General features: G+C 45.7%; 1 protein-coding gene across 5 annotated transcripts in view, besides 1 other annotated feature; it reads left to right on the top strand.

Moving 5' to 3' along the window:
• The window catches only part of EXOSC7 (exosome component 7), a 36,425-nt gene extending 25,516 nt beyond the window's left edge, over positions 1 to 10,909 (top strand). For 2 of the 5 annotated variants that reach the window (XM_047447748.1, XM_047447749.1), the window contains 5 exons: positions 3,532 to 3,655; positions 5,661 to 5,816; positions 9,476 to 9,634; positions 10,424 to 10,531; positions 10,745 to 10,909. In XM_047447748.1, the coding sequence (XP_047303704.1) occupies positions 3,532 to 3,655; positions 5,661 to 5,816; positions 9,476 to 9,580 (385 nt within the window). In that variant the 3' untranslated portion in view covers positions 9,581 to 9,634; positions 10,424 to 10,531; positions 10,745 to 10,909. Of the gene's footprint in view, positions 1 to 3,531; positions 3,656 to 5,660; positions 5,817 to 9,475; positions 9,713 to 10,423 lie in introns of those variants that run through there. The other 3 variants (NM_015004.4, XM_017005930.3, NR_023353.2) reach the window with 2 other exon arrangements.
• Positions 10,335 to 10,454: an enhancer, noted in NCBI's record as "active region_19773". NCBI's record gives its function as "activates an Ori minimal core promoter by ATAC-STARR-seq in GM12878 lymphoblastoid cells {active_cell/tissue: GM12878}" and the evidence as "EXISTENCE:reporter gene assay evidence [ECO:0000049][PMID:35858748]".
• Positions 10,910 to 23,039: the final 12,130 nt, after the last annotated feature.

Below are 23,039 nucleotides of genomic sequence, written 5' to 3' on the forward strand. Positions count from 1 at the left end.
GAAAAGATAGATTTCGTGAATTAAAACTACATATATACGTATATTCTGTATTTATTTTTTGTATTGTTATTTTTATAAATAGACACCTACCATTTAGAAAAATATTAGAAAACTACAGAGAAGCCAAGAAGAGTAGACACCACCTACAGGCCAACTATCCAAATACTATTACTGGGTGAACTCTATGGGGGCAAGGATTTTGCCTGTTTTGTACTTGCCTATATTCCTAGCACCATGAACAGTACCTGACACATAGTAAGTGCTTGCATATTGCTTGATTGTACACATGTGTGTTCTAAAAGCAGGGTAACAGGCTTCCCTTTGGTTTAAGAAGAGGAAATGGCTATTCCACATGGTTCAGCTTTCCAAACAGGTTGTGTAGAAGGGACAAGTTGCTATGCTTTTTTGGAGTTGACATTTATTCTGACTGATTGACCTTTCCCCCTTTTATGCTCCAAGTACTTTGAGGAAAATTTGCAGCATTTATGAGTAAATACGTGGGATAGGGTGTTCATCCTATGAGAGAGCCTACATTAAGGTAACAGAGGATCCTATTAAAAAACGAGGATTAGAAACTTCTAGGGATATAACCTAAGGACATAATTGAATAAATGAGCAAAGATGTTTATTCTAGGATGTTCATCACATCCTAGAATAAACATTACACTGCTTTGTAATGGTAAGAAACTGGAAACAACCTGAGTTTCACAATGGAGGGGATTGAAGTCCACACAGCAGCCTATTTAAAGGCATGTTAATATGGAAAATAGTTCACTAAATGCAGTCCCCTCATCCTGGTTTTTGTTTGTTGGTTTGTTGTATTTTACTTTGGTAGTTCTTATATGTAATGTGTCTGGAAATATGTACCCCCAAGTAATCACTGTAATTATTTTTCAGTGCTCATATTTTGGCCAACATAACATTTACCTGTTTTTTAGAGCTTTTCTATGATGAGTTTAGACTCCCTGTGTAATTTAGAGCAGACAAAAATTGCAGGCTGGAATATTTGCTGAGAATGAAAGCTGTAGAGTCCCCCACCCCTAGCTGTGCCACTAGGCTCCTTGTTGAGACTATTTGAAATGTGAGCCTGGCACTCTTGGCCACCGTGGGAGCTTGCGTGCCAGATCCCACAGCAGTAGCTGGTGCTCGGGCCCTGTTGGGGAAGGAAAGGAAGCTGTCATCTGATTTATCTTGAGCCTCAGAAATGACTCCCCATCTGCCAGCTGGTTCCTATAGGCACCCAGGCAAAAAGAGAGATTGGGAACCAGACAAGGCTGTTTAGCTGTGGGGGAGTTGCTGGCCAAACTGTATACCAGAAAGGTTAACCCAGCTGCTCAGGTAGGGGAGGACACCTGTCATGGGCACAGCCATAGTCTCATCCTCAGACCAAGAACAGCCCTGCAGGCAGCAAGGAATGGGGACTCTAAGGCATCAAGTCCCCCTGGTATGTGGAGAGACTATTGGCATATTCAGGGTCCTTTAGAAGGGTAAAGGCCACCTGAGGGTATTCTTTAGCCCTTCTGCCCAGGCTTGTTGTAGCCAAAGGGTTGGGAAATTGGGAGATACTGTGCGTGCGTGCGTGCGTGCGTGCGTGTGTGTGTGTATGTGTGTGTGTAAATGGTTGACAACTTGTTCAAATAGGATATTACTTAGTAGAACTTCCTCTGATGGGAAGGCTCCAAATGGGGAAGACCCTTACAGAACTCCTTGGCCCTTGTCAACATTCTCTGGCTGAAGCTCCCCTGATCTGATCTAGATGTTGCCTTGTGTATGGATGGCCAGCAGGGCTCAATCATGGGGGGTTTTGTTAGAGGAACTGGGAAAAGTACTAATGCTGTTTCCATTACAGTAGCTGGATGGACCACCTCTTCCTTCCTGGCTCCTCCAACCCAGCCTGGAGTGAATTGACTTTATAGGTTAAATGTGTTTTTCAGTACCCAGCTGAAGAAACAGAATGTTGCCAGCACCCCAGAAGCATCCCACACCTTCTGTACCCCCATGCAATTACACTCACTGATGATAACCAGCATCTTAAAAGAATAGATTACTTTTGTACTTGATATAAATGGTATCATATACTATGTTCTGTTTTGTGTCTGCCTCATTCACTAAGCATTGTGTTTTGAGAGATCTGTGTTGCTGCCTTAGTCATAGCTTGCTTTTTGCTGTATGGTGTTCCATTGTGTGACTTTGTCCAGTCTGCTGTTTATCCAGTCTACTGTCCAGTCTGCTGTTGTTTATCAGTCTACTGTTGATGGCCATCTGGTTCATTTCCAGTTTGAGGCTATTACAAATAGGGATGGGCATCATGAACATTTTGTGCATGTCTTTGGTGCACATATTTCTCTATTTCTGTTAGGGAGGAGTGTTCTGGGTTATAGGGTATGGCTATCTTTAGTTACGGTAGATGCTGCCAGTTTCACAAAGTGTTTTACCAGTTAACACTTCCACCAGCAGTGTATGTAAGAGTTCCGGGTTGTTTCACATTTTTGTCAACTCTTGCTTTTTTTTTTTGAGATGGAGTCTCACTCTGTCTCCCAGGCTGGACTGCAGTGGCGTGATCTCAGTTCACTGCAACCTCCACTTCCCAGGTTCAAGCGATTCTCTTACCTCAGCCTCCCAAGTAGCTGGGATTACAGGTGTGCACCACCACACCCAGCTAATTTTTGTATTTTTAGTAGAGATGGGGTTTCACCATCTTGGCCAGGCTGGTCTCGAACTCCTGACCTCAGGTGATCCTCCCGCCTTGGCCTCTGAAAGTACTGGGATTACAGGCATGAGCCACCATGCCTGGCGTTTTTTTTTTTTTGTTTTTTTTTTTAATAGTTATTTTGGTTGTGCCTTGGTATCACAGTGTAGTTTTAATTTGCATTTTTAATAGATATTTAAATTGAGCACCTTTTCTTGGTTTATTGGCTACTCAGACAGCCTCTTTTATGAAGACATCCAAATATATTCTACGTTTGAGTCTTTTGTCCATTTTTCTGTTGGGCTGTCTTTTTTTTGTTTAATAGGAATTCTTTATGTAATCTGTCAGGTAGTATTTTATCTCCCCAGATTATATTTTTAGTTTTTAAATGATGTCTTCTGATATACAGAAGTTCATGATGTTATAATTGAATATGTAACTTTTTTCTCTTTCTGTATCCTGTTCAAGAAATAGTTGTCTACTCCAAGGTCATGCAGATGTTTTTTTCTAAATGCTTTATTGTCTTGTCTTTTATTTTTTATATCTATGGTCTATTTGGTATGGCTTCGTGTGTGTGGTGTGAGGTAGGGATTGAGATTCTTTTTTTTCCATTGGGATATCTGATTGACCCAGCATCATTTTCTAAAAGATGCCTTTCCTCATTGCACTGCGGCGCCTCCTGTGTGCTTTTGACAGGGATGACAGGGATGAGGATGATAAAGAATAGGCATAGCGTGTCTTTCTCTTGTGAGACACAGGGATTCCAACTCCTATTCTCAATCTTAAAAAGAAGTTATTTTTCCTCCTCCAAGTGGGAATTTTACTAGTGCTTCTGCTTCCAGGATACCAAGGGTTCGAGTTTTGGAGGATGAAGAGGGGTCGAAGGACATTGAATTGTCAGATGACCCTTATGACTGCATACGACTAAGTGTGGAGAATGTCCCCTGCATTGTCACTCTGTGCAAGGTATAACTTGTATTTTATGGTTTTTGTCTTCCCTGTGGGTGTGGGTCTCCTCTAATCCCAACCTGCTGAGGTTACTTAATAAGTTAAGAAGTTGTAATACCACACACCATATAGAAGTAGCTTTTACCCAAATCCAATAATTTGGTTATACTAGAAACCACTACCACGAGTAGCTCTTTCTTTTCTTTTTAATTGGAAGATATGATGTGGTCCTGGGAGCCATGAGTGTGTTTGTAGTAATAGTAGCCAGAGTTTGTTAAGCTCCTTCCACATACCATGTGCTTCACTAAAGCACCATGTCTTTTAATTACCTCAACTCTATGGGGTCTAGGGTGGTTGAGTAGTGGCAGGGTGGCGAACACTGTCCCCCCTATGAAATGGGAGGTTGGAGCAGGTCTTGGGTATCATGAGTGGTTTTCACATAGAGGGCTGTGGAGCTGAACATCAGGCTGATGTGATATATAACTAATGCTGCCCCAGGCTGTGCAAAGAGGCCTGTATTGGCTATTGACTGGGATTGTAGCTAATTCCACTCAGGATTCATTATCTCAAAATAAAGCTAAACAGGTCAGGTTTAATTCCACTGAAATCACTTCATGAACAGGATGTGGTGAAGTGTTCAGACAACAGGATGGCAGGATGTTGGGTCTTGGCTTTTTTTTTTTTTTTTTTTTTTTTTTTTTGAGACAGTCTTGCTGCAACGCCCAGGCTGGAGTGCAATGGCGCGATCTCAGCTCACTGCAACCTCCGCCTCCCAGGTTCAAGCAATTCTTCTGCCTCAGCCTCCCAAATAGCTGGGATTACAGGCACGTGCCATCATGCCTGGCTAATTTTTGTATTTTTAGTAGAGACGGTGTTTCACCATGTTGGCCAGGCTGGTCTCAAACTCCTGACCTCGGGTGATCTGCCCACCTCAGCCTCCCAAAGTGCCGGGATTACAGGCATAAGCCACCGCACCTAGCCGGCTTGTTCTTTCTTGTTGTTTATTTGTTTTTTTTTTTTTTTTTTTTTTTGAGACAGAGTCTCGCTCTGTCGCCCAGGCCGGACTGCGGACTGCAGTGGTGCAATCTCGGCTCACTGTAAGCTCCGCTTCCTGGGTTCACGCCATTCTCCTGCCTCAGCCTCCCGAGTAGCTGGGACTACAGGCGCCCGCCACCGCGCCTGGCTAATTTTTTGTATTTTTAGTAGAGACGGGGTTTCACCTTGTTAGCCAGGATGGTCTCGATCTCCTGACCTCATGATCTGCCCGCCTCGGCCTCCCAAAGTGCTGGGATTACAGGCGTGAGCCACCGCGCCCGGCCTTGTTTTGAGACAGTGTTGCTCTGTTGCCCAGGCTGGAGTGCAGTAGCACAATCTAGGCTCACTGCAACCTCTGCTGCAACCCCCCCACCCGCCCCGGCTCAACCTCAAGCAACCCTTCCACCTCAGCCTCCCAAGTAGCTGGTACCACAGGCTCACACCACCATATCTGGCTATTTTTTTGTATTTTTGGTGGAGACAGGGTCTTGCCATGTTGCCTGGGCTGGTCTCAAACTCCTGAGCTCAAGCATTCCATTTTCCTCAGCTTCCCAAAGTGCTGGGAGGCATGAGCCGCTGCGCCCAGCCTTTGGCTTGTTCTTGAGTGTGTCCCTTAGCATGGACCCTCTTGATTCCCCCTTGCCATCAGTGAAACGTCCATGTGGCCTTGTGTGTGAATTTCTCCCTTGTGCCCCTCTGTTGGAAAGCCTTGGTGGCCTTTGTCTTGGTTGGTCTCTGAATTCTAGTTTTAAACCACCTTGCCCTGTTTTTCCATATCGTGTTTTTATTGTACCACCCACACAGTGGCCTGTGAGAATTGTTGAACAATCCCTCAGCTGTTTTCCTCGTGAGCAGAATCTAAAATAAGACCTGGAATGACCAGTGCAAATACTTTTGCCTGGTGTAGAGATTCCCACCACGAGGCCATCAGGGGTGGGACTCTGGGGCCTGCGTGACCCACCGTGTGCCACGCACCCTGCCTTTGCAGATTGGCTATCGGCATGTGGTGGATGCTACTCTTCAGGAGGAGGCCTGCTCGCTGGCCAGCTTGCTGGTGTCGGTGACCAGCAAGGGAGTTGTGACGTGCATGAGGAAAGTGGGGAAGGGCAGCCTGGACCCAGAGAGCATCTTCGAGATGATGGAGGTGAGGCCTTAGTTCTGAGGAAGGTGCAGGGACCTGGCCGGGGTGCCTGCTGCTTCCTGCTCCCTTGGTCATACCGTGGGGATTCTCCCCATTCACAGCCTTGACCCCAAACTTGGAGATTTGGGAACAGCTGGTTTGAGCCAGGGGTCTGCTGACCTAATCAAGGGGGGTTGTGGGGGTGGATACTCTGGACTGGGAGGTAAGGAGCCTACCAGTAACCATTAATTGTCCTCAGTAAGTACCCCCCATCTCATTTCTATGTGTCTAAATAAGACTGTTGGACTTTCATAATGTAAAGAGCCACTCGTAACTCCAAAAGTGCAGGCCTTTGTGACTTGATGAGGGAATAGAATTCTTGGCTCACTGCTTCCTGTCCCTAGAAGTGGGTGAGTAAAGGTGGAAGCACGGGCTGAACTGTGGCTGTCTCCCAAATTCGTTACAGCTCTAGAAGTGTTTAAATGGAGACAAGCAGGGATGGTAAGAAATCTGACCCACTGGAGTTGGGTTGGGTTGCCCTCATCCCTAGCAGAGCCATCAAGGCGCTTCTACAGTTCTCTGTACTGTTTGCCCCACATGTCTGTCACCTCACTGGCCTGGAAGCCCCGCAGGGCAGGGACAGGGTCCTGCTCACCTGTTTCCCAGACCTTCTTTCCCCTATATCCACCTCACCTTTCTGACTGATTGACTGACTGAACTTCCAGGAACAGAGTTAGCAGGATCTGATTATTCATACTTTCTTGCAACCTCTATATCACCACACATGCCCAGAGATCATTGCTTAATAGCAAGCACTCTTCTTTTGTGTTTAGAAACAATGACTTCATACTGAAGAATCCAAGAACATGACATCTACTTTCTCTCTTTATCATGTTATTTAAAAGGCCAAAATGAGCACTGTATATAGCATGGAGTTCCCAACCATGGGCTGTGAGGGTGTACTGCCCTGGCTGCAAACCTGGCTCTGGGCCATAGTCCCCCTCATCTGCAAAGTGGGACTGATAATAGTAATATCTGCCCAGACACTGCTGAGGTTGTTATTAGGATGATGTGAGGTGTAGAGGAGAAGCACATGTCACAGTGCCTGATATGTCATCAGTTCTCAGCTAATGGCAGCTCTTATTCTCTGTGCTCCATGAAGCACCCTGAGTTCAAATTTCTCCAGACTTAATGCTGCATAAATTCTACCAAAGTCCTCTAGGCAAGGGACTGTCAAACCTTGTTTTAGAAGGTACTCTTCCCCCTCCCAGGAGAGTTTATGAGAATTTCTTTAAACAGCAACAACAAGCACAGTAAACAAATAGCTGGAGTTTATTGTGTGCGTACTATGTGCCAGATACTGTTTTCACTGCTTTAAATATATCATTTAGTCCTCAACAACCTGTGAGGTAACTATTATTATTGTCCTCATTTTTACAGATGAGGAAACTGAGGCACACAGAGGATAAGCAGCTTGCCTACAGGCCTCCCTGCTCATAAATACTGGAGCTAGGATTTAAGCCAAGACTGTGTGCGTCCAGAGCCCCTGCTCCCAGCCACTGTGCAATGTCAGCCTTATAAACCAGATCTGCCCTGGCTGTCATAGATGGCAGAACCAGAGCTCTGTTCAGTGAGCTGAGCTTTGTCCTCCCCTCAGGTTTGGGGAGTGAGGTCTGCTAACTCTGGACAGGGGACTATAGCTCTGTGGCCCTGTCTTACTGTTTATCTCACACAGGGATGCAGCAATCTGGAAAATGACTTGGTGGAGCTGAGAGCCTTGGGGGTAGTTGTGCAGGCTGCCACCCCTAGCCTCTGCAGTTGCTTTCCTGCATCTGGATTCAGAGGCGTCAAGGCCCTCTCAAGTCCTGGCATCCTGTCCATCTCATCTCCTCTTGTTGTCCTCTCTCCCCACCCTCATGTATATGAATAATCAGTACCCCTGTTTGACAGATTCAGACTTTTTTTTCTTTTTCTAATGTTATGGGAAAATCTTTCCAAAGGCCCTTTTTTTTTTTGAGATGGAGTCTCACACTATCGCCCAGGCTGGAGTGCAGTGGTGCGATCTCAGCTCACTGCAACCTCCGCCTCCCTGGTTCAAGTGATTCTGCCTCAGCTTCCCGAGTAGCTGGGATTGCAGGTGCCCGCCACCACTCCCAGTTAATTTTTTTGTATTTTTAGTAGAGACGGGGTTTCAGTATGTTTGCCAGGCTGGTCTTGAACTCCTGACCTTGTGATCTGCCTGCCTCAGCCTCCCAAAGTGTTGAGATTACAGGCATCAGCCACCACATCCAGCCCCCGAAGGCCTTTTTGACCTTTAACCCTGACTTTGCATTTCATAGAGGTGATCACTTCCCAGCCTTTTAGATCGAAATCATCTTTTCATAAGAGTTTTAGTCATACTTGGGATCTCATCCCATGTTACAGTTAGGGGCCAGGGGAGAAGACACACAAGTCATTACTCTGGGGAGGATACACCTGTAACTGAAGAGATTGAGGCAGGGATTTAGGCATGGATGTTTTTATCTCAACATTGTTGAGAATGGAACCAGTGGCAGAGTTGAATCCACACTGCTATGGGAATGTGAAAGACCTGATAAGGTAGAGATTTGTGGTTGGTTCTTTGTATTCTTAAAATGATTCTTGGGCCCAGAGACAGAATAACAGTTTCATAAAGAAAAATATATTTTTTTATATTGGGGTGGTGGTTGTTTTTTGAGACAGGGTCTTGCTCTGTTATCCAGGCTGGAGTACAGTGGCACAGTCACAGCTCACTGCAGCCGTGAACTCCTGGGCTCAAACAATCCTCCCATCTCAGCCCCCTGAGTAGCTGGGTCTACAGGCGCATACCACCATGCACAGCTAATTTTTAGTTTTTTGTAGAGATGGGGTTTCACTCTGTTGCCCAGTCTGGTCTTGATCTCCTGGCCTCAAGCAAAATCCTCTTGCCTTGGCCTCCAAAAGTGCTGGGATTACAAGCATGAGCCACTACTCCCAGCCATATTGAGTTTTTTTGTTTTGTTTTGTTTTTGTTTTTGTTTTTTTTACCTCTCGTGTCTGCTCTGTAGGGACTGATTATTAATTTTGTGGGTTGTCCCTCTTGATGTGTTTCGATTCTAACATTTCACTGCCTTTAGCATCTCAGCATGGCAGTAAACACCAAAGATCCCATCCAGGTACTGACTTTGGTCACACCTGAGCAGTTCTGCTTAGAGGCTTCATGGGAGGTGAATGAGAAGCTGCTTACTAAAATGTCCTTGGCATCATCTGTTTCTTCTCCAGACAGACTCTGGATTCCCTGTGGTCTCCCTATAGTACAGTGTCACCTGGCTGTACCCAAGCCCAGATTTGATTGACAACTTTGTTGCTTGTTGCAGTGGCAGCAGGATAGTGAAGCATGAGCTAATGGCCAGGGCAGGCTTTGCTGCTCTCTGTTTGTTGCCTGGTGGGGGCTGGTGTTTGTCTCTCTTTTTTATTTTTTTGATATGACGATTTTTACAAAATTTATTATGTTGTTGGGGTCTGTGGTTTTTGTTTTAATTTGCTTTAATTAAATAAAAGTCCTCTAAGGCAGATGGAATGTGTACAATGTCAGAAAGACTAGCTGGCAGAAAGGAATGCTTTTCTGGTCAGAGTGTGTGTGCCTTACAAGGGGGTGTGTGCTCTCTCCCGTCCCTTCTCCACAGACTGGCAAGCGTGTGGGCAAGGTACTGCATGCCTCCTTGCAGAGTGTTGTGCACAAGGAAGAAAGCCTGGGGCCCAAGAGACAGAAAGTTGGATTCCTGGGATGATTTGCACATCAACTGCTCAACTGTGGATTGTTTTTTACTTTTCCTTTTAAACCGGTTCGTATATATTTTTCTTCGCTGTTACGAATTTACAGCAGCATTTGTACATGTAAAATTAAAGGCTATTTTCTGGTCTGGTTTGGTATGTCTAGAGTTCTTCAGTTGAAGCCAAGGCACCATTCAGTGACCCATCTGGGTCTGGCCCTTATCTAGTGAGTGGCAGACAAATCCAGAGCTCTGCCACCAAGGGAGACCCCCACAAGCTGGAGTAAAGACCTGACAGAAACTGGTTTACAGGAAATGCTTATGATATGTATTTTGTGAATTTTTTTCCCCTTGAAGAACTTTAAAAATAAGAATCACAAAGAAAAGTTCATTCACCTTGTGTATTTGGGTGGTTCTGGGAGAGGAAAAAAGAGGAGGCACTCTGCTGCAGGTACACACCCAGGGCGTCTGTCTGTCTGGTTAGCCATCCCAAATCCTGGGAAAGTCCAGCTCTGACTTCCTGCCCTCCAAGAGATCCGAATGGAATTCCCTAGGTTCAGGGGCTTTAGTGGCAGCCACTTTGGCCCTTAGCCATCCTTTCTTATCACTCTTGTTTTGAAATTGCTTTGTGTTTTATAACCACTCCCTGGTGTTTCCTAAGATTTTGTTTTGTCAGCATTAAGAAGGCAGCTTTCAAGATGTTGTCATTTGATAATTCAGCTGCCTTCATGCTCTCAGCATTGAAAGGAAGACTATGCTTGCTGGCCCAGAAGGCTCTTCCTATAAGCCTGTAGTCTCACTGTGCAGTGTGTTAAAATTAAGTCTCTTCATGTGTAGAGCAGCCTTTGTTTTTTTTTCTAGGGGAACTGAAACTCCTAAATCTTAAAACACCCTGGGGAAGGAGCTGATTCACGAAGGAGAGCGTTTCAACCGTGGCATTTGCTCTCTGCATTCCAGTTAGCAAATGGGGTAAGGCGTTAGGAATTTATCACCAAATGGAAAGAACATAATGTGAGCTGAAGCCCTTGGGACTGCTTCCAGAGGTCCTGGTGTGGGCGTTCCTCCCAGCAAGGCCAGGTCCATCCCTGTGGAGAGAAGCAGCTGCCTAGACTTGGGCTTAATGGGGGAGCTTCTGCCCTGTTGAGAGCATAGCCTGGGTTTTCATCTTTTATGTTTCTTCAGTGACTATCTACAGGCACCATGACAGTGTTCCCAACAAGGCAGAAATCAGCCTGGTCTCTCCTTCCCTGCTCCTGGTTGACTGCCCGTGACATGACAAAACATTGGCAGTGGTGGCGCAGAGATGCAACTCGAGTGTGAATAAAGTTTAGAAGCATTTGCTTTTGATGGTTGATTCCAGTGGATCATTTTGAGATGCATAAATTAGAATGGGTACTGTCATATATGTCAGACTCAGCTCTGCTTCACTTCCCTTCAGACAGACAGATGAGGCTTTGCCATGCCAGTGGTATGACAAGCAGCTACCAGCTTGGATGGCTGGCTAAGCACTTCCAGTAAAAATGGAGAAAGAAGAGAAAAAGATGGTGGAATCTGTTTCTAGCCACCCCATACCTTTCCCTGAAGGCCACCCCTACATGTAATATACGTATATTGCAAATGAAACAAAACACCATATGAGCAGGGACTCTCCAGGAGAGGCATTTATTGGAAAGATCTGATTGTTGCAACTGTCAGAGTGAGAGAAGAGAAAACTGAAGACAGAGACTGGCAAAGACTTGGAAAAATATTATCCTGGGACAGACCTGTTTGATCCAGCAGAGCCACAGCTGTCTTTAGTGGTCTTTAAATAAACATTAGGTAGAAGAACATTGAAGTTGGTCAAAGTAAGGGCGGAGTATAAGAAATGCAATGTTAAATAATATTCAAGTGGGTTTTTGTCTCTGATTCTTTAGTCTTCCAAATCACGAGTTAATTTTTTTTCTTTTCTTTGTTCTTAGAGATAGGGTCTCACTCTGTCACCGAGGCTGGAATGCAATGGTGCAATCATAGCTCATTGCAGCCTCAAACTCCTGGGCTCATGTGATCTTCCCACCTTCCTGGGACTGCAGGCATGCCACCATGCCCAGCAAATTATTTTTTTAAAATGAGGGTCTCACTATGTTGCCCAGGCTGGTCTTGAGCTCCTGGCCTCAAGCAATCCTCCTGCCTTGGCCTCCTAAAGTGCTGGGATTACAGGTATGAGCCACTGCACTGGGACATGAGTTTAGATTTTTTTCTCGTTGTTGAGACGGAGTCTCGTTCTTTTGCCAGGCTGGAGTGCAGTGGCGTGATCTCACCCACTGCAGTCTCTGCCTCTCGGGTTCAAGCGATTCCCCTGCCTCACCCTACTGAGTAGCTGGGACTACAGGCGTGCACCACCACACCTGGGTAATTTTTTTTATTTTATTAGAGACAGGGTTTCACCATGTTGGCCAGGATGGTCTTGATCTCCTGACCTTGTGATCCGCCTGCCTCGGCCTCCCAATGTGCTGGGATTACAAGCGTGAGCCACAGCACCTGGCCGAGTTTAGAATATTAACAGTAGTTTGTTTGCTCAGTAAAGCCAGTTGTCTAACATACAAACTGCCAGTAGAGAATAAGTCTTCGCTATTCCAGACTTTTTGGAAAACAATCTGGCAGTGTGCATTAAAAGCCTTAAAAGACCGGGTGTGGTGACTCACGCCTGTAATCCCAGCACTTTGGGAGGCTGAGGTGGGCGGATCATGAGGTCAAGAGATCGAGACCATCCTGGCCAACATGGTGAAACCCATCTCTATTAAAAATACAAAAATTGGCATGGTGGCACACGCCTGTAATCCCAGCTACTTGGGAGGCTGAGGCAGGAGAATTGCTTGAACCCAGGAGGTGGAGGTTGCCGTGAGCCAAGATCGCGCCACTGCACTCCAGCCTGGCTACAGAGCGAGACTCCTTCTCAACAAAAAGCCTTAAAAATGTTTGCCCTTTGACCTAGTAATTCTACTTCTGGGCATGTAATCAAAGTAAATAATTTATGATACAAGGGGAGTGGAAACATTAATACAGAGGAGTTTATCCCAGTGTTATTTATACATCCCAAATAATGGCCATAAAGTAACTGCTAGTTAGTGGGGAAACAATGTTCCATGCATTGCTAGATGCCTCTGATGGATTACCTTCTGTCCTCAGCCTCGCCTCTGCCTCTACGGCAGTCAGACCGTAGCTAATAGATTATGTGTTCTGAGGGTTAAGACATGGGCAGCCAATCAGGATTTTACTCAACTTGTCAAAATTAAAAATAATAATAATTGGAGCATAAAAAGCTTATGTCAACCACTATAATGGGAAATTCCAGTCCTTCACCCAGTTTCCGTAAGCCAGTTCACAGATCAAAGTCCATTGACAGGAGGGAGGTTGGTGTCTTTAAATAAGAATCCTGTAATATCACCATCAGCACCTACAATAATAGTTCTCCAGTCTGGAATACCAGCATTGAGGAAAGGTGATTTGAAGCCTTTTGAATCTGGGTTTTGACTTGATGCCTGTATTAGGAGACCTGAAATGCCACCAAGGCTCTCCAGTCAAAGGGGATGGGGGATGGAGGCTAGGTAATAAATGGATGGTACAAGTAAGTCTGGCTCACAATGGTCATTAGGTCCTGGGATAATTTCCTTCCCCAAATGTGTAGGTGGGATGGATGTGGTACAATTGAGATGTCATAAATGGGATGGAATGAAAACCACAATGGTAAGAAGGGTCAAGGTTGGAAACTGCCTCCCTTCCCTGGCCAAGATAATAAATCAGAGACAATATTGGATCTTGGGAGAAATTGCAGAGATTAGGACCAACATCAAAGACTTTAAGGATGCAAGGGTAGTTGTCCCCGCCTCATTGCCATTTATCTTATCTCTGTGGCCCCTGTAAAAGCCAGGTGAATCATGGTAGATGACCACCAAACACACGAGAGAGCTCCAATTTCCACTGCTTTGTTGGATGAAGTATCTTCACTAAGATTAATCAGCACAGCCTCCAATGCTTCGTATGTGGCTATAAGTTAGGAAAATTCTTCCTTAATCCCCATTAACAAGAAGGGTCAAAAGCAGATCTCTTATGTGGAAGGACTGCAAAATGTGTTCAGTGTCTTGTCAGCGGTCTATGTTAATCACCTACTTTTTGTCACAGTGATATCTTCAGGGCCATCGCGCTGATCTATTTATGTTGATAAAATCATGTTTATTAGATCTAGTACATAGGACGTGGAAAGCCGTTGGAAGTCCTAGTAAAAGACACATGCCTGAGAGGGTGGGAAATAAACCCCATGAAGATTAAGGAGACCACCACACTGATAATGTTTTTAGGTATCCAGTGGTGTGGGGCATTCTGAGAGATACCCCCTCTAAGGTGGTAGATTTTGAACCTTGCACCCACCCTCATCCCCACTACCCTCACTGAGAAGTACAGCACTTGTTGGGCCTCTGGATTTTGGAGACAAGAATGCTGTACTTGAGAATGCTGTCTCAATGCATTTATTGAGTAATTCACAAACCTACCAGTTGTGAATGGGAGTCCAGAATAAGACAGGACTCTGAAGCCTGTTTAAGCTGCATTACAAGCATCCCTCCTGCTCCATGTGACCCAGAAATTCCAACGGAGCTAGTGCTATCTGGGGCAGGTAAGGGTGCTGTGTAGTTTCTGGCAGGCCCAACAGGAACGTTGTAGCACAGACCCTAGGATTCTGGAGCAAGGCCATGTGGTGGAAAGCTATTCACCTCCAAATGAGTGAGTTTGAAAAGAAGTTTCTGGCTTGCCACTGGGCCCAATTAGAGACTGAATACCCAACCCTGGGACCTCAAGTGACCTGAGCCACCCATCATGCTGGTTATTGTCAGACCCACCAGGTCATAAGTTTGGGTGGGTGCAGCAACAATCCATGCAACATGAAAATGTACATTCAGGATTAGGCCTGAGCAGTTCAGTGGGCACAACCAAGGAATATACCAGGTAGCCCAGATTCGTCTGTCACCCCTGTTCGCCAGTGCCTCTCATCCACACTTATGACCTCATGGGGGAGGGGACTCCTGCAGCCAGCTACTGGAAGAGGAAAACCCCAGGTCTGCCTTGTGGATGAGTTGGTTCTCTATATTGATGTGTGCCCCAAAGGGACTGCTCCTGCATTACAGCCCTGCAGGACAGCAGTGAGAGAACTGAGTGCAGCCAGTGCACTTGGTTGTTAAGTTTGCACAAAGGGATAAGGGTACACGTGGATTCCCGGATAGTAGGGAGTAACTTGGCTAGTTGGACAAGGGCCTGAAAGGAGTAAGATGGGATGATCAGAGAAAAGGGATTTGTATGGACCTGTGGGAATGGGCCAAAAAAAGCGCAGATAGTCGGGAATCGTGTTAATGCCCATCAGAGGACATTTTCCAAGGGAGGTGTTCAACAAGTGTTTTGACTTCAGTTCTGGGTAGGATATGTAGGTCATGGTGGACCACCATTCATGCTGCTGCAGCTAAAAATGCTGAATGCATTTCAAGAGTCATATCATTAAAGATTTTGGGAAGCTCTGGAAGTAAAGAGGATTTCATGGCCTAAAATTCCAGAGAAGGGGGAGACTTTCTGAAGTGAGCAGGCTGTCACTGGCATTTCCTTCCCTGGGGGCATTTGCAGATTCTGGACGTGGAATAAGAATCAGGCTTGGGAACATAGAGGAACTCTACCGGGGAAAGGGAAACCTGCAAAACCTCCAGCAAAGCTGTGTAGGGATAGTGTGATGATTTAGAAACTCAAAGATCCCTAAACACACAGCTGGGTTTATATTTGCCAAATTCTCAGACATGATGGGAAGTCAGGGAGTTTCAGCTAAAGAAGATTGAAATCTCCTGTAGCATTCTATAGGGCTATCTGTTTTTCTCCTCTTGTGTGAACTATTATAGCTGAGGGCATCAGGTAAGTGCATGCCCAGTTTATTATTCCCAAAGTTACAAATCAGGTGATTAAGTTACTGTCCCTTGGAGTGGAAGGAATCGAGGTGTGGAAAGAGGCTATCAAGCTCCTTGACACACTGGGACAGCGTGGTGGCTCAGACCACCCCTCCTCCTTCCCACAACCTTGCAGGTTGCTCAGCTGTCTCCCATGCGAGACCTCAGTTTGCTCCTTGAAAGAATCCCATGTGCAAGCAGGGTAGAGATTATTACCCCACTTTACAGAAGAGGAGTTTGGTCTTGAGTAACTCATCCAAAACGACACAAGTGCCAGGTATCTCAACCAAATTTGGAACTCGGGACTCCATTCTCTTTCCACTGCCACACTACAGAGCTTTAAGGATAAAACAACAAGGACTGTGAGCCCCTTGAGAGCTAAGATTTGGTTGAGTTAGGACCTACCTAACTCAGGGCCCGGTACACAGGGACAGAGCCAATACTTGAATGAATGACAGAGTACTAGGCCAACAAAGTTTTTTTTTTTTTTTTTCTTAGAGACAGGGTCTTGCTCTGTTTTCCAGGCTGGAGTGCAGTAGTATGATCATAGTTCACGGCAGCCTCCATCTCCTGGGCTCAAACAATCCTCCCAGCTCTGCCTGCCAAAGAGTTGGGATTACATGTGTGAGCCCCTGCACCAGGCTGTCTATATGCTCTTACCTTTGAAGGGCATGTGGAAAGTTCTCTGCCTCTGTTATAGCCGGGCCACATTTCTGTTGACATGGGGCCAGTGGAACTAAAAGGAAACATCTGTGCCGGGTGAGGGTTGCGGGTGGGGTAGGGGGCTGGAATGGCTCCATGGTGGGCCAGAAGTTTGCATGTTATTCGGGCTAATATGGGTGGAGTGACCAAAGCCTGTTTTGTATAACTGAGACTTCCAGCAGCTTTGAGAAAAGAAACAACACCACCACACACACAAAAAAACCTTGAAAGCTGAAATATGCCTTTAGAGCTCTCTTCCTCTGATTTTTTTTGCCTGTTTTGTTATTAAGATCATTCTTTGTACAGGGAGATTAGTATGAAAAGACTGGGCTGTGAGAGTGGTGTGTTAGTGAACAGACACTTCCTTGAGGGTTGGGGTCGCTCATGAACATTAATGCAGCATCACTGTCTTGGCTGAAGCCACCCCCACTTGCCGCGCCATGGGCCAGTTGAGGTCTTGTGGACAGTGTCAGCAGATCTTTAATGCAAGGAAGATGAAACTGATATCATCTTCCATATGTAGAAGGTAAAATTGGCTCCACCAGGGCTATCGGTGAATCCATTGCAGGTGGCTGCAATGGCAGTCCACACCTGGCCAGGGAGAGTTGGGGGTGGACAAGAGGATCTGGATATTTAATGGCCATAAACTCAACAGTGGCAACAAATGAGGCCCAGGTGCTACAAAGAGCCCATGAATCTGTGGCTTCCTGAATAGAGGGTCTAGTCTGCTCACAGGAGGCACTTGCCCTGGCCCAGAGGAAGGCCCGTGAAAGCAAGTTTTGTTCTGGGATCTGCACCACAATGAAGACCATAACAAGCACAGTTTTATGCAGTGAGGATTCTCTGGAAGATTGAAGTAGATTGAAATCTGTAGCATCCAGGAACCATATTGTAGAGGATCCATTGAGAAGAAAAAAGGAACGGAACATGGAGAAAGGACAGTCAAAGAAGGACAGGCTGGCCTCTCATGTGACTGCTCCACAGGCCAGCACTAGGAACCATGGGGTGGTTTCCCGGAGGCCAACCTGCCCCACCACAGGGGGATCCTGAGGACAAGCCAAGTGTCTAACGATGAAACTAGTTGCTTTTCAGGTAATGAGCTTCCTGTTCCTGGAAGGGTTTAAGCAACATATGGAGACATCTGACAGGGTCAATGGAAAGGGACATCCCACATCGAGGGGTGGTTAGACTAGATGGCCTCTTCTAACCTGCTTATTAACTCAGAGATCAAGAGTTATTGAACCCCTGCCCTTTTTTTTTTTTTTTAAAGGTAGGGTCTCCCTCTGTCATCCAGGCTGGAGTGGTGCAGTGGTGTGATCATGGCTCACTGCAGCCTCAACCTCCTGAGTTCAAGTGATCCTTCCACCTCAGCCTCCAGAGTACCTGGCTCTACAGGTGCATGCCACCACATCTGGCTTTTTTTAAATTATTATTATTTTGTAGAGATGGGGTCTCCCTATGTTCCCCAGACAGGTCTTGAATGCCCGGCCTCTATTGATCCTCCTGCCTTGGCCTCTCAGAGTGCTGGGATTTTGATTATAAGCATAAGCCACCGCTTCTGGCCAGTTTGCATTTTTTGAGGACCACTGAAGCAATAAAAAAATGATGAAATGCCCAAACCAGGTTACGAAAAATAGAGATGTACTTTAAATGTTTACATTTAATGAAATAGCACTTTTCACACCCACAGATATGACACAGGACAATATTCTATTCACAAGAGAGAATTCATTATTTATTTATTTTACCAATTGCCTTGGGTGATTCTATTTTTGCATTATTACAACTTTTTATTGTGGTAATACACAACATAAAATTTACTATTTTGGGCCGGGCATGGTGGCTCACGCCTGTAATCCCAGCCTTTGGGAGGCCGAGGTGGGCGAATCACGAGGTCAGGAGATCGAGACCATCCTGGTTAACACGGTGAAACCCCGTCTCTACTAAAAATACAAAAAATTAGGCGGGGTGGTGGGCACCTGTTGTCCCAGCTACTCAGGAGGCTGAGGCAGGAGAATCGCTTTAACCTGGGAGGCGGAGGTTGTAGTGAGCTGAGATTGCACCACTGCACTCCAGCCTGGGAGACAGAGCGAGACTCCGTCTCAAAAAAAATTTGTTACTTTAACCATTTCTAAGTGTACAATTCAGTGACATTAAGTACATTCAAATTGTTTTGCAGCTGTTACTACTGTCTATCTCCAGAACTTTTTCATCTCTCCTATCTACAACTGTGTATCCAGAAACACAGGATGAGGATGTGTATCCTCATCCCCCCACCCCAAGCCCCTGGAAACCACCATCCTACTTTCTGTCTCCATGATTTTGGGGGTTTTTTTTGTTTGTATCTTTCTTTTTTAATTTTATTTTAGGTTCTGGGTGCATGTGCAGGTTTGTTACACAGGTAAACTTGTGTCATGGGGGCTTGTTGTGCAGATTATTTTACCACCCAGGTTAAGTCTAGAACCCATGAATTATTTTTCCTGATCCTCTCCCTTCTTCTACCATCCACCGTTCATAAGGCCCCAGTGTGTGTTGTTCCCCTCTTTGTGCATGTTCTCACTTATAAGTGGGAGCTAAATGATGAGAACATATGGGTATGTTTAAAGTTGTGAGATGAACTTGCCTCCTGTCAGAACTGTCCATGTGTCTCTCAGCTGTATAGACCCTTCTCGAGAGACAAGCCAAACCTAGACTTGAAGAGGCTCCAAGGCAAAAGCCACTTCCTCCCTGCCCTGATTCTACGTAAGTCATTTTATCAGCACAGGCGGACTCCCAGGTGCTTGTCGAGGAGCTCTGTGTAGCATGTGCACGTATACACATGCACACACACCTCGAAAACCTGCAGGTGAAAAGATCAAAGACGTTGCTTACTGCTTAATGGAAATTCCTAAGCATGTCTCCTTCCTGAAGTGTGAATAGTTCACTTGCCGGGCTAGTAGGAGAGTCACACTCCCCCCAGTGAAGGTGTGTCCCCCCTTGCTTGGGGGCTAATGTTGAACACATGCTTAATATCTCTCTGCTACCTCACTGGGCACCCCAATGCATTCCATGCTCAGCAGCCAAAGTGCTCCCTCCAAAGTGTGCTCTGATCCCAGCCCTCCTCAGCGTGGTTCTCCATTGGTCTCCCGTGGTCTCCAGGCTCATATCCAGAGTCTTTTAAGATGGCTTGATGGCTCCTCTAAGCTACATATCCAGCTTTATGTCTTCCCCACCCTGTCCTCATTGGCTCGGGATCTGGAATGCAAGGTGCTTTTGCTTGGCTCCAAGACTCTGCTTGTGTGTTTTCCACCTGGAGCCCTGTGCTCATTCCTTCCTCCCCTCAGCTGGCCACACCCTCTGTGTCCCTTCCTCAGCCTGAGGGCCACCTTCCTTCTGCCCTGCCCTGGCTGCATTCGGTGCCCTGTGAGACGCCACCACAGTCCCCATAGCTTCAACCATCAGCCAGCCCTGGAAAACATGGGGCCTCTGGTTGCCTCATGTTTAGAAAGCATACTTCGTTCATTTTCCTACCACTGAAGGGCCAAGATAGAGTTGGGCCAAGGTGAGAAAACCAAGAAAGCAAAGCAGTTAACAAAAATATTAATTTTCTTTTACCATCTGCTACCCACCCAGAGTTCCAGGAACAAGGCCCCTTTTAGGTTATGTAATCATCAGGCTCCAAATTGTCTCCCGAGGGCCCAGCTGTGAATATAAAACCCTTCCCACTCTGAGAATGTGAGAGGTGGAGCCCAGTGTCGTTGAGGGGCCGTGCAAATGCTCTGCTCCGTGCTCAGGGCCCCCACCCTTGGCAGGACTACTGTGCACTGGGCCAGCCCAGCTGGCCTCCTGCTTCCCTGGCCTACTACATAAGAGATCCCTCCCTAAGTCAGACAGGGGAAGGTGGGGTCCCTAGAAGGCAGGGAAAAGCCTGAAGTACATAGTATTGTATTTTCTTTTGGAAGAATCTCAAACTCAGAAAATTTGCAACGACAGTACAAAGAACATTCTCCCCCTGAACTATGTAAGTTGTCAACACAGTACCATATCGCTGTCTAATACTTCAGTATGTGTGTTTCCTACAGACAAAGACACTCTCCTACATAATCACAGCACACCATCAAGTAGGACCATAACAGGGATACCGTCATGCGTTGCTTAACAATGGGAATACGTTCTGAGAAATGCATTGTCAGGCGAGTTCATCGTTGTGCTACCATGACAGAGTGTACTTACACAAACCTAGGTGGCATAGCCTACTACACACCTAGGCTCTCAGGTATGGTATGTTGCTCCTAGGCTACAAACCTGTACAGCACGTGACTGCACTGAATACTGTAGGCAGTTGTAACATAATGGTAAGTATTTGTGTATCTCAACATAGAAAAAGTGGAGTAAAAATATGGTATAAAACAGCAGTCCCCAACCTTTTTGGCACCAGGGACTGGTTTCATGGAAGACAATTTTCCCACGGATGCGGGGTTGGGGTGATGGTTTCAGGATGAAACTGTTCCACCTCAGATCATTGGGCGTTAGATTCTCATAAGGAGTGTGCAACCTAGACCTTCTCATGCACAGTTCACAATAGGGCTTGTGCTCCCATGAGAATGTAATGCTGCTGCTGACCTGACAGGAGGCGGAGCTCAGGTGGTAATGCTCGCCTACCCACCACTCACCTCCTGCTGATGGGCCTAGTTGCTAACAGGCCACGGACCAGTACTGTGGACCAGTACTGGTCCATAGCCTGGAGGTTGGGGACTCCTGATATAAAAGATAAAGAAAATGATACACTGGTATAGGGCACTTACCATGAATGGAGCTTGCAGGACTGGAAGTTGCTCTGAGTGAGTCAGTGAGTGGTGAGTGAACGTGGACATTACTGTACACTACTCTGGACTCTATAAAACACTGCACACATAAGCTGCATTACATTTTTTTAAAAAATGGTTTTCTTTTTTAATAATAAATTAACCTGAGCTTACCATAACTTTTTTTACTTTGTAAACTTTTGAACTCATTTAACTTTTTTACTTTTATAACATTTAGCTTAAAACACAAACACATTGAACAGTTGTACAAAATTATTTTCTCTATATCCTTATTCTATAGGCTTTTTCTAGTTATTATTACTTTTTTACTTTTTAAACTTTTTGTTAAAAACTAAGACACAAACGCACATTAGCCCATGCCTACACAGGGTCAGGATTATCAGTGTCACTGTCTTCCACCTCCACCTCTTGTCTCAGTGGGAGGTCTTCAGGGACAGTCACACACATGGAGCTATCATATCCTATGATAACAGTGCCTTCTTCTGGAAAACCTCCTGATGGACCCACCTTAGGCTGTTTCACAGTTAACTTTTTTAAAAAAAAAGTAGAAAGAGTACACTCTAAAATAATGATAAAAAGTATAGCACAGTAAATACATAAACCAGTGACACGGTCATTTATTATCATCGTATTAGTTCATTCTCGCACTGCTATAAAGAACTGCCCAAGAATGGGTAATTTAGAAAGGAAAGAGGTTTAATTGACTCACAGTTCTGCATGGCTGGGGAGGCCTCAGGAAACTAATAATCATGGTGGAAGGCAAAGGAGAAGCAGACACCTTCTTCACATGGCAGCAGGACAGAGTGAGTACAAGCAGGGGAAATGCCAGATGCTTATAAAACCATCAGATCTCATGAGACTCACTATCACGAGAACAGCATGGGAGAAACTTGCCCCCATGGTTCAATGACCTCCACCTGGTCTTTCCCATGACACATGGGGATTATGAGGATTACAATTCAAGGTGAGATTTTGGGTGGGGACACAGCCAAGCCATATCATTCCACCCCGGCCCCTCCCAAATCTCATGCTCTCACATTTCAAAGCACAATCATGTGGGGCAGAATGATATGGTTTGACTATGTTCTCACCCAAATTCTTATCTTGAATTGTAATCCTCATAATGCCCATGTGTCAAGGGAGAGACCAGGTGGAGGTCATTGAACGATGGGGGTGGTTTCCCCCATGCTGTCCTTGTGATAGTGAGTTCTCATGAGATCTTATGGTTTTATAAGTGTTTGGCAGTTCCTCCTGCATTCATTGTACCTCCTGCCTCCTTGCGAAGAAGGTGTTTGTTTCCCCTTCACCTTCTGCCACAATTGTAAATTTCCTGAGGCCTCCCCAGCCGTGTGGAACTGTAAATCAATTAAACCTCTTTCCTTTCTAAATTACCCAGTCTTGGGCAGTTCTTTAGAGTAGTGTGAAAACGGACTAACAAAATCAAGTATTATGTGCTAACATGACCTTATATGCTCTACTTCGATATGACTGGCAGTAAATTTGTTTACACCAGCATCACCACAAACTTGGGAATAATGAGTTGCACTATGACTTTACAACCCTTTGTGACATCACTAGGTGTTAGGAATTTTTCTGCCCCATTATAATCTTATGGAAGCATATCACATATGTGGCCTGTTGTTGACTGAACTGTCATGATGCAGCATGTGACAACACATCACTGCCGTGTGCTCCTCAGACCCCATCAGATTTCTCTGGTTGTCCCAACTGCATCCTTGAGAATGGAGGGTCCAGTCCAGAATCACATATTGCATTTAGTTCTGTGTCTTCAGTCTCCTTCAGCCTGAAACACTTCCTCAGCCAGGAGCTTTGAAAATTACTGGCAGTCATTTTGCAGAATGCTCCTCCATTTGGGATTGTCTGATGTCTCTCTGGCCGGAGTCCTATGGAGTGATGCCACATTCTCACTGCAGCCCCCCAGGTGCTGCAAGCTTTTTATTGGCCCTGTTGATGTTTACTTTGGTCACAGATGAGGTGATGTCTGCCAGCCTTCTT

This window comes from Homo sapiens, chromosome 3 (genome assembly GCF_000001405.40).
Source record: "Homo sapiens chromosome 3, GRCh38.p14 Primary Assembly".
Taxonomy (NCBI): domain Eukaryota; kingdom Metazoa; phylum Chordata; class Mammalia; order Primates; family Hominidae; genus Homo; species Homo sapiens.